The sequence below is a fragment of the Homo sapiens genome, chromosome 10, assembly GCF_000001405.40.
Source record: "Homo sapiens chromosome 10, GRCh38.p14 Primary Assembly".
Classification (NCBI taxonomy): domain Eukaryota; kingdom Metazoa; phylum Chordata; class Mammalia; order Primates; family Hominidae; genus Homo; species Homo sapiens.
The window spans coordinates 26,583,016-26,594,646 of record NC_000010.11 but is presented as its reverse complement, the minus strand read 5'-3'; the positions used below and the strand labels follow the sequence as shown (position 1 = coordinate 26,594,646).

Sequence of the window (11,631 nt, the reverse complement as noted above, 5' to 3'; positions counted from 1 at the left end):
ATTAATACTGTATCTTATATCAAAAGAACATAATATACTAAAACTGGAGAGTTACTGTTCCTGAGATAAAATTTAATGTAAAGCAAATTTACCTTCTATCCTATTTCAAGCATATGCTCAAAAAATTAAGAACACCTTGCCAGTTTTAATTACTAAATATTTTGGTTTTAAAACTAAATTCGCTTCATTTTAAATTTCCATTTAGCCTGCAGGGGTGTCCAATCTTTCGGTTTCCCTGGGAGCTATTTTCAATTATAGTATTGACATCCAGATCGACTGACCCAGTAATCTTTCTAGAAATACCGTAGGAAGAACGTTGAACTTTTATTCATTTATTTTATTCATTTGCGGCATCTGAACATTGATGCTTCGTGCCTCTTGTGGGGGTGGGGCATAGGAGGCCTCTTGGCGACAGCAGGGGGAGGGGGCACGAAGTCCTGGGGCGCCTCCATGAAGTCAGGGGGCGGCAGCAGGAGCTCTGGGTCGTCCAGGGGCCGTGGTGGTGACTGTGGCGGCTGCTGGGGCAGCAGGAAGTCGTCGGGCGGGCGGGGAAGCCCCAGCCGCCTGTGCCCTTGACTTTGAGGGGCGTGGCGGGGCTGCAGATGGTGTCCCAGGAACTCTGCACCAGAGGGGTTGGGGCAGGCTGAACTTGGGGCCCTGCGGGGCCGGGGTGCTCCTGGCTCCTGGTGGTTCCCGAGGGCTGGCTTCTTATACTGTAATCAAGCGACAGCAGCATTATTTTAAATTTTTTGAAATTTTAAATTTATTGTTATTAATTAACGGAGACAGGGTCTCACTCTGTCAGTGCAATGGCACAATCTGGGCTCACTGCAGCCTCGACCTCCTGAGCTGAAGCAATCCTCCCGCCTCGGTCTCCCGAGTAGCATTCTTTATTCTTGACAAAACAGCCCCAATGGACAGGACCATGCCATAGATATGTGAGTCTCTGTCTGCCCCCTGGGGAGCCTCCAACCTTCAGTTACTAAGACCCCTGGTTGTTCATGAGCTCATCTTTGCTCTGGAATAGGGAAATGACTCTAAATGACTATTATTATTATTATTATTATTATTATTATTATTATTTTTGAGACAGAGTCTTGCTCTGTCGCCCAGGCTGGAGTGCAGTGGTGCCATCTTGGCTTACTGCAACCTCTGCCTCCTGGGTTCAAGTGATTCTCCTGCCTCAGCCTCCCGAGTAGCTGGGACTACAGGCGCTGGCAACCACGTCCAGCTAAGTTTTGTATTTTTAGTGGAGATGGGGTTTCCACCGTGTTGGTCAGACTGGTCTCGAACTCCTGACTTCATGATCTGCCTGCCTCTGCCTCCCAAAGTGCTGGGATTACAGGCATGAGCCACTGCACCTGGTCTTTTTTTTTCTTTTGTTTTGTTTTTTTGAGACAGGTCTTTGTGTTACCCAGGCTGGAGTGCAGTGGTGCAAGCTCGATTCACTGCAACCTCTGCCTCTAGGGCTCAGCAATCCTCATGCCTCAGCCTCCCAAGTGGCTGGGATGACAAGCATGTGCCACCATGCCCAGCTAATTTTTGTATTTTTTGTAGAGATGGTTTTTTTGCCATGTTGCCCAGGCTGGTCTCCAACTCCTGGGCTCAAGTGATCTGCCCACCTCGGCCTCCCAAAGTGCTGAAATTACGGGTGTGAGCCACGTTATCTGGACAGTTTACCTTTTCTCAACTGCATGAAAGTTGGCTGGTTCACCGGGTATAAAATGAGCCCCGAAGTCTCTATTATGACCTGTGTCTCAGGTTGTGATGAGATCAAATGAGATACATAAATGAGTTCTGAAAAGAAAAATTACCAGTGTGCTATTGGTAGAAACCAGAATGCCAAATTTGGCTAAAGTCTAATAGAGACATAGCCCTTCCTCTGCCAATACTGGCATAGATAATAATAATTTGTATTTATATAATGAAACATCCCCAGGCAGCTGGATTGAATCCCTCTGTTTTAGTGATAATTGTCATTCCAATTTACATTTCATCAGGGTTCCAGTTTATTTCTTCCTATGCTTAATAGCCTGTTACCACTGAAGATTAAATTTGGAAGTTTTTTTTCTAATGAAGTGCCTTCTGATTTAGTTTCTATTTTATTTTGTTCATTTAGCATGATAAGCTAATTAACTGGTGATGTACTTTTTCCTTTTTAAAAAATTTCCGAACAGGCAGCTTGGGTACTGATGTTCACATATAGTTAAGTGATTTCTATTTTGGGTTTCTTTTATTTCTTTCAGCATTTTAAAATGCTTTCCTTCAATTGGCACTACAAAAATAATGAAAATAATAATAGCTGAAAGGGCATTGCATGAGAAGCGCAGGCATGAGAAGATAAAGAGAACATTAAAGAAATACAACTTTTACAGGCCTGCAGTGGTTGTCAAAATTATAAGAAGTTCAATAAATACAAAGATTTAGTTGTTTTCATAACTGACTGATGGACAACATGAAGGGGTGAAAGAAGTGAAAAATTGCTAAAGTGAAGCATCCTGCCTGTCCTAGCTGGGTGATATGCTATTGTCACAGTTATTTAAGGTTGTTTTGAATCACACATGAGAAATAGTCAAGAGAATTTATACAGTCAACTGAGAGGTTTTGAACTAGGTAAGTAACTAAATCATAATTATTAGCTATGATTTTAAGATAGATTTAAGTGAATCCTCATTGATCTATTTGGTTGAAAAAAATGTTATGGAGGATGTCATACCTATTGGCTATTATTTTAAAATGTATTTTCTCCTCCATCACCCTGGGGATGTATGTAGGACATTAATGGGGAAAATAGAAAATGCACATTTTTAGTGTAACCCTTTTTTATCTTTTTTTTCTTTTTTTAAGACAAAGTCTTTATCTATCATGTAGGCTGGAGTGCAGTGGTGTGATCACAGCTCACTGCAGCCTTGAAATCCTGGGCTCAAGCAATTCACACACCTCAGCCAGCCAAGTAGCTAGGACCACAGGTGCACGCCACCACAGCTGGCTAATTTTTTGACTTCTAGTAGAGATGAGCCCTTGTTCTGTTGCCCAGGCAGGTCTGGAACTCTGGAGCTCAAGCAATTCTCCTGTTTCGGCCTCCCAAAGTGCTGGGATTACAGGCGTGAGCCACCGTACCTAGCCTGTTTTCTCTTTTTAAAAGAGCAGTTATTGGAACAATGCGAATGGTTGAGAACATGGGTTTTGGGGGACGGCTGGATGGAATGTAGTCAGCTGCTTGCTGGTTTTACCTTCCATGTTTCAGCATGTGTTTGGGCCTTTTCCAGAACAGCACTGACAGAATGTGCAGCCTGGGGCATCTGTCCACTGGGCTTGGTGATGCCTTTTATAGGTCCTGAGAGGGAGGAAGTGAGAAAAGAAGAGTGAGCAAAGAATTTTCAACATTCTTGAAAGTTAATCTGAAAATACAAAGCAGTTTACATCTATAAAGCAAAGAAAGATACTTCCTGGCTACTTCTTACAAAAAAATAAATAAATAAATAAAAACAAAGCAAAGAGAGCAATTCACAGGCATGACGTGGTACACAAAACCGTATGAAAAATCTGAGGTTCTGTGACAAAACTTTATATGAGATTCAGCAAAAGATTCAGGAAGGTGAGTACGGTATTTGATAAAGCCCACTGAGGAGGGTCTGGATTAACTGGGATTGTGGAGAGGAATAGTATGTTTTACTTTTGAAAAGCTTTTGATAATTGAAGAATTAACCTTGAAAACCAATTTTCTTTCAAAAAAATTCTATTGTTGATTTCCCTAAAATGTATTTATCTAGTTTCATACCGTGCTGAGTACAGGAACAACTTTTGAACATTGTCCTTAATAAAGAGTATATTGAGCTGGGTGTGGTGGCTCAGGTCTGTAATCCCTGCACTTCAGGAAGGCAAGGTGAGCACATCACGAGGTCAAGGGATTGAGACCATCCTGGCCAACATGGTGAAACCCTGTCTCTACTAAAAATACAAAAATTAGCTGGGCATGATGGCGCATGCCTATAGTCCCAGCTACTCTGGAGGCTGAGGCGGGAGTATCGCTTGAACCCAGGAGGTGGAGGTTGCAGTGAGCCAAGATCACGCCACTGCTCTCCAGCCTGGCGACAGGGCAAGACTTAGTCTTAACAAAAACAACAACAACAAACAACAAAAAACAGATAAACAACAACAACAAAGAGTACATTGGACACAGAAACAATAGACAGAGATTTGGGCAAAATGTGCGGGTCCCTGAAATAATCTGGAATTAGATGTGTTTTTTGTTTTGTTTTGTTTTGGTTTCCCCAAAAGTCCTGGTATTATGATTTTATTTTCTTGCCTTTTAATTTGTCCTTTTGACACAAAGCTTGACTCATGGAAGGTCTGCAGTTGTTAGAGAATCAGATAGAGGAAGCTCTACGTTGATTTCTCGGCTCCTTAGAAAGGATCCCTCCAAGGACAGCCGCCTCTCCACACCCGGGCTGTTTCTCCTTCAAGTGAATTGCTGCCCAGCCCACACCAGAAGGTCTTCCGCTCCTCTCCCTGTGAATGCAGAGATGCTTTAGCCATGCTCAGCACCACTGTTCTGTTTAATATTCACAAACTGCCTGTTTATTTCTTCAACTAGTTTTCTAGTAGTTTGAGAAACCCATTAATCTACATGACAACTCAAAGAATGACTTCAGGAGATTAGAAAAAACCAAAACAAAACAAAAAGGCGGGGTGGGGGGAAGTTTGGCTGGGTTCTGGTGGCTCATTCTTATAATCCCAGCCCTAGGGGAGGCCAAGGCAGGCAGATCACTTGAGGTCAGGAGTTCGAGAACAGACTGGCCAATTTGGTGAAACCCAGTCACGACTAAAAATACAAAAAATTTAGTTGGGCGTCGTGACCCACGCCTCTAATCCCAGCTACTTGGGAGGCTGAAGCAGGAGGATCACATGAATTCGGGAAGCAAGGGTTGCAGCGAGCTGACGTCGCGACATAGCATTCCAGCCTGGGTGACAGAATAAGACTCAGTCTCAAAAAAAAGAATGATACTCGGGGGAAAACGGTGGGAAGGGGGAGAAAGATAAGAGACTACAAACTGGATTCCATGTGTACTGCTTGGGTGATGGGTGCAACAAAATCTCACAAATCTCCACTAAAGGAGTTACTCAATAACTAAATACTACCTGTTTGCCAAAAATTTATGAAAAGAAAAATTAAAAAATTTTTTTAAATTGTGAAAATTGAGGGTCATACTTTCAAGTTACAAAGGCACATCTATCATGAGGCTTAATTATTCTAATGTTTAAAGAAATGAAGAGAACAACCAGAGTTTAAATAGAAAAGCTGTCAGCATTTCATCTACAGCAATGAAATCTGTAGCATGCATTTTGTATTTTGAAACTTAGTTTTCAGCCAGCCTGGGGGAAGAAGAAGAGGAAACAGAACTGGGCATAGCATAGGTAGGAGGAAAGTAAGAAACCAGCTGGACACAGCAGGGAAAGAAGAAGGGGTGAGGACTCGAGGCAGAGCCAGTCCTCCTGCTTGGGGCCTGGGCATAGGAAAGCAAACTCCAGGCAGGAGGAAGGAGCCCCAGGCTGTGGATGCCTCTGGGGGGAACCTTGGGTGAGCAATGGCCAGAGGAGCTCCTGAACTTAAGCAGTATCTGCCGCCTCCCTACCTTTGGGTGTCTTCTGGTGGCCAATGTGCTGCTGTCAGGACTCTCACTGGCTCCCAAATTCGACTGGGCAGCCTCCAAAGCGGTGGAGTCCTGTGCTACTGCCACCTCCGCCTTGTGGATCACAGAGCTGCAGGACGGCTTCACCCACTACACCCTGAGCTGGCCCCGCTTGTGGCTGGCATTGGGGGACAGCGTGTTCTGGGCGCCTCTGCTCCTGTATATCGTGTCGTGTGTCTTTGCTGTCTGTACGCTGGTAGACATGAGAGCCACAGGCTGGTCCTGCAGAACCCTTGTGCCGGCCATGATTGGGGCTGGCTTTGGTGCACATGCAAGAGTTCAGTGTGGTCCCCATGGGACACCCCTGCTCTTCTCGGGCAGCTTGGGCCTTCACTTGCCCCCAAGTCTGCAGACCTCAACAACTCTCGCCTCTTGCTGGCAAGAGCATTGCCAGCACGGGCAGCCCTGGGCCATGGGGCGGCACTGTGCTAGCAGCCTGCACCCTGTGTCACCCCCGTACTCTGAGCTGACTTGTCTGCTAAAAAAAAACTGCCAACTTGTCCGGTTTATTTTAGAAGGGACTGGATGCAACAAGCCTGAGAGCTGTGGCCTGGGGAGGAGAGAGCACAGATTCATCCTCCTTCCACCACTGCCCAACAACTGAAAACCATGAACTGCAGACCACCAACTGAAGAGAAACAACTGAGGGTACCAACTGAGGGCACTAACCAAAGGCAACCAATGAGGGCACCCACTGAAAGCCACCAAGTGAAGGCCAGTTGCCCTGCCAACCAGAACACATCCGGGTTAGAGGAAACAATCAGGCCCAGAATCCTTTGCATGTGTCCCCCCCAACGTGGAATTCAGAGCTTAAGCACCAGGCTTACAAGGCCCCACCCTGCCAGTGGACCCGCCCCACCTTTCATTTATTGCTGGCTGCTAGGAGCTTTCATGTTGCTCAGTGTGATGAAGTTCCTAGGGATCATCACCTTACAATGAATGATGCTAAAATTACTGAACCCAAATCTGCCTCCTATATTCATAGAGCCCCTTTCCCCCATAACCTCTGAGATTTTTCAACCTGAAAAAAGACATATTTCTGCATGTGCTTTCAGAAAAACACATTGCCACGAGCTACGAGTAATAGAGGACACTTTCTGAAATGTATACACTAAGTATATCACAGTTTTCTAGTGATCACTTTGATACAACAAATTAGAATCTATGGCTTCAACAAACAAAGAGGCTTATGTAAGAGAAAAGCACCACATAATACAAGATTTTAAATGTGATCATCACTGCTACTTTTAAATGGCAATTATCCACTAAATGTATTGTGAACTGCTTTGTGAGCATGGTGACTCATTTAATCTTTGTGATTCTTGGTTTGATTATCTCAAAAATATGAGTAACACCATTTTAGAAACTTGCTCTAAAAATTAGAGAAAAATAATCCTTCTCTATATATTGAACACTAACAAAATTATAGGCATTCTGTCCAGATTTTTACACACTTACCTTATCGAAGCCTCATAACAACCCTATCTTTTAAATTAAAGGCATTTTGTCCACCCAAATTTTTACTCATTTACCTTACGGAAGCCTCATAAGAATCCCCTCTTTTATAGACAAGCAAAGTGAGGCTCTGAGGACTTGAAAACACATTCACCATCACGTCCTAATGAGTGTTGGAACTTGGATTCAAATCCAGTTCTCTCTGATGCCAAAGGTGGTGCAACTTAATGAAGACCAAGTAATACCCAGTACATGAAGGGATCAAACATGTGGATTCCCTTTCTCTATCCTCTTATGTGTGAATTTCAATGGCTTTCACAGCTTTAGAACAATCCTAAACTCCCTCCCAGGTTGTCTTGCCGTCATTCCCTTCTTCTTGGAAATGGGAATCTGCATATTTAGACCACAAGCATCTCCTTAGAAAAAGGGTTGTTGATCAACAAATGAAATTTTTGGCCAGGGATGGTGGCTCATGCCTGTAATCCCAGTACTTAGGGAAGCCAAGGTGAGTGGATCACCTGAGGTCAGGACTTTGAGATCAGCTTGACCAACATGGTGAAACCCCGTCTCTCTTAAAAATGACAAAATTAGTCGGGCCTGATGGCACATGCCTCTAATCCCAGCTACTCAGGAAGCTAAGGCAGTAGAATCGCTTGAACCCAGGAAGCAGAGTTTGCAGTGACCTAAATTACAGGTATTGTGTCCAGATTTTTACACATTTACCTTATAAAAGCCTCATAGAAACCCTCTCTTTTACATTACAAACATTTTGCCATGCTTTTTGCACACTTACCTTATGGAAGCCGCGTAACAATCACATCTTTTATAGATGAGAAAACTGAGGCTTTGGATGCCTCTTGGGGAACCTTAGGCCATCAGCAGCCAGAGGAGCTCCTGAACTTAAGTGGTATCTGTCGCCTCCCTACCTTTTGGCGTCTTCTGGTGTCCAGTGAGCTGCTGTCAGGACCCTCGCTGGCTCCCAAATTCAACTGGGCAGCCTCAAAAGCAGTGGAGTCCTGCACTACAGCCACCTCCACCTCGTGGATCTCAGAGCTGCAGGACAGCTTCACCCACCGCACCCTGAGCTGGCCCGGCTTGTGGCTGGCATTGGGGGACAGCATGTTCCAGGTGCCTCTGCTCCTGTATATCGCATCCTGCGTCTTCACTGTCTGTACGCTGGTAGACGTCAGAGCCACAGGCTGGCTCTGCAGAACCCTTGTGCCAGCCCTGATTGGAGCTGGCTTTGGTGCACATGCGACAGTTCAGTGTGGACCCCATGGGGTACCCCTGCTCTTCTTGGGCAGCTTGGGCCTTTGCTTGCCCCCAAGTCTGCAGAGCTGAACGCCTCTCGCCTCCTCTTGACAAAAGCATTGCTGGCACGGGCAGCTCTGGGCCATGGGGCGGCACTGCGCTAGCAGCCCTCACCCTGGGTTACCCCCGTACCATGAGCTGAATTGTCTGCTAAAAACCCCTGCCAACTTGTGTGGTTTATTTTGGAAGGGCCTGGAGGCAACAAGCCTGAGAGCTGTGACTGGGACAGAGAGAGCACAAATGGATTCATCCTCCTTCCACCACTGCCCAGCAACTGAAGACCACCAACTGAGGCCCACAACGGAAGAGCACCAACGAAGGGTACCAACTGAGGGCACTAACCAAAGGCAACCAATGAGGGCACCCACTGAAGGCCACCAAGTGAAGGCCAGTTATGCCAACCAGACCACATCCTGGTTCAGGGGAAACAATCAGGTCCAGAATCCCTTGCATGCCTCCCCATAAACTTGGAACTGGAGAGCACAGGCACATGGCTCACAAGGCCCCGCCCTGCCAGCGGCCCCACCCCACCTTTCATTCATTGCTGGCTGCTAGGACCTTTCAGGTTTCTCACTGTGATGAAGTGCCTAGGGATCGTCACCTTACAATGAATGATGCTAAAATTACTGAAACCAAATCTACCTCATGCAGTGTCTGACATTCATAGAACCCCCTTTTCCCCCATAATCTCTGAAACATTAAGAAATTAGAAATAAGAGTGATTTCTGCAGGTGCTTTCAGAAAAAAACATTGCCATGAGCTAAAACTACTCTATAATGTCGTCTTATTTCATATATACATATATATCTCCAATCCACATATGTTCCATTTACATTTTTGAAAATAACACACATGTTCAATCAAATTAACAAGACTAACAGAAGAACTTTTCTAAAATTTACACATGAAGTACATCACATTTTTCTAATGATCACTTTGATAGAGCAACTTAGAATCTGTGATTTCATAACACCAAGAGGATTATGTAAGAGAAAACCACCACATAATACAGAATTTTCAATGTGATCATCATTGCTACTTTTAACTAGAAATTACCCAGTGAATGCATTGGGAACTGCTTTGTGACTTTGGTGATCTATTTATTTTTTTCTGATCATTGGTTTGATTGTCAAAGATACATGAGTATCACCAATCTTATAAACTCATTTTAAAAATTAGATGAAAAAAATAATCCTCCTTCTCCATATACTGAACACTAAAAAATTTTAGGTATTATGACCAGATTTTTACACACTTACCTTATAGAAGCCTCATAGGAACCCTCTCTTTTAAGTTACAAGCATCTTGCCATGGTTTTTACTCACTTACCTTATGGAAGCTTCATAACAATCACATCTTTTATAGATGAGAAAACTGAGGCTTTGGATGTCTCTGGGGGAAACTTGGGCCAGCAACGGCCAGAGGATCTTCTGAACTTAAGCAGTATCCGTTGCCTCCCTATCTTTGGGCATCTTCTGGTTGCCAGTGTACTGTGGTCAGCTCCCTCGCAGGCTTCCAAATTCGACTGGGCAGGCTCCAAAGCAGTGGAGTCCAGCGTTACTGCCACCTACGCTTCGTAGATCCCACAGCTGCAGGACGGTTTCACCCACCACACCCTGAGCTAGCCCCGCTTGCGGCTGGCACTGGCGGACAGCGTGTTCAGGGTGCCTCTTCTCCTGTATATCGCAGCCTGTGCCTTCGCTGTCTGCACACTCGTAGATGTGAGAGCCACAGGCTGGCTCTGCAGAACCCCTTTGCCAGCCCTGACTGGGGCTGGCTTTGGTGCACATGCGACAGTTCAGTGTGGTCCACATGGGACATCTCTGCTCTTCTCAGGCAGCTGGGCCTTCACTTGCCACTATCACCTCTTCCTAGCAAAGGCATGGCTGCCACAGGCAGCCCTGAGCCATGGGTCGGTAATGCGCTAGTAGCTGACACCCTGCATCACCCCCATACCCTGAGCTGACAAGTCTGCTAAAAAAACCCTGCCGATCTATCTGGTTTATTTTAGAAGGGCCTGGATACAACAAGACTGAGAGCTGTGACTTGGGCAGGAGAAAGCACAAATGGATTCATCCTCCTTCCACCACTGCCCAACAACTGAAGCCCACCAACTGAAGAGCACCAACTGAAGAGCACCAACTGAGGACCACCAACTGAAGAGCACCAACTGAGGGTACCAACTGAAGAGCACCAAGTGAGGGTACTAACTGAAGGCAACCAATGAGGGCACCCACTGAAGGCCACCAAGAGAAGGCCAGTTGCCCTGCCAACCAGACCGCATCCTGGTTCAGAGGAAACAATCAGGTTCAGAATCCCCTGCATGCATCCCCACAAACTTGGAACTCGAGAGCACAAGCACGTGGCTCACAAGGCCCCGCCCTTTCAGAGGCCCTGCCCACCTTTCATTCATTGCTGCCTGCTAGGACCTTTCAGGTTTCTCACTGTGAAGAAGTTCCTAGGGATCATCACCTTACAATGAATAATGCTAAAATTACTGAAACCAAATCTGCCTCATGCAGTGTCTGGGATTCGTAGAATCACCTTTCCCCCATAATCTCTGAAACATTAACAAACTAAAAATAAGAGAGATTTCTGCAGGTGCTTTCAGAAAAAAACATTGCCATGAGCTAAGCCTACTCTAGAATGATGTCATATTTCATATATGCATATATATATATCCAAACCGCATATATTTGATTTACATTTTTCAAAATAACACATATGTTCAATCAAACTAACAAGAGTAACAGAAGAAATTTTCTAACATTTACACACTAAGTACATCATATTTTTCTAATGATGGCTTTAATAGAGCAACTTAGAATCTTTGGTTTCTCAAACACCAAGAGGATTATGGAAGAGAAAACCACAACATAATACAAAATTTTCAATGTGAAAATCATTGCTACTTTTAACTAGAAATTACCCAGTGAAGGCATTGTGAATTACTTTGTGACCTTGCTTATCTATTTATTCTTTCTGATCATTGGTTAGATTGTCTAAGAAATACAAGTATCGCCAATTTTATAAAATTGCTCTGAAAATTAGATGAGAAAAAATAATCCTCCTTTCCCATATACTGAACACTTAAAAAAATTATAGGTATTGTGTCCAGATTTTTACACACTTACCTTATAGAAGCCTGATAGAAACCCCCTCTTTTAAATTA

General features: G+C 44.6%; 1 long non-coding RNA gene across 1 annotated transcript, besides 3 other annotated features; it reads right to left on the bottom strand.

Moving 5' to 3' along the window:
- Positions 1-322: 322 nt before the first annotated feature.
- FAM238A (family with sequence similarity 238 member A) lies at positions 323-4,782 on the bottom strand. Its single transcript, NR_026793.1, has 4 exons — positions 4,310-4,782; positions 3,234-3,337; positions 1,681-1,797; positions 323-713 (listed from the first exon to the last, which is right to left on the bottom strand). It is a non-coding gene; the product is annotated as a family with sequence similarity 238 member A (long non-coding RNA).
- Positions 528-1,071: an enhancer, noted in NCBI's record as "H3K4me1 hESC enhancer chr10:26882505-26883048 (GRCh37/hg19 assembly coordinates)". NCBI's record gives its function as "activates a minimal SCP1, AML or CMV promoter by ChIP-STARR-seq in naive and primed H9 embryonic stem cells {active_cell/tissue: H9 hESC(naive and primed)}" and the evidence as "EXISTENCE:reporter gene assay evidence [ECO:0000049][PMID:30033119]".
- Positions 584-633: a silencer, noted in NCBI's record as "silent region_2237". NCBI's record gives its function as "represses an Ori minimal core promoter by ATAC-STARR-seq in GM12878 lymphoblastoid cells {active_cell/tissue: GM12878}" and the evidence as "EXISTENCE:reporter gene assay evidence [ECO:0000049][PMID:35858748]".
- Positions 5,350-5,849: an enhancer, noted in NCBI's record as "H3K4me1 hESC enhancer chr10:26877727-26878226 (GRCh37/hg19 assembly coordinates)". NCBI's record gives its function as "activates a minimal SCP1, AML or CMV promoter by ChIP-STARR-seq in naive H9 embryonic stem cells {active_cell/tissue: H9 hESC(naive)}" and the evidence as "EXISTENCE:reporter gene assay evidence [ECO:0000049][PMID:30033119]".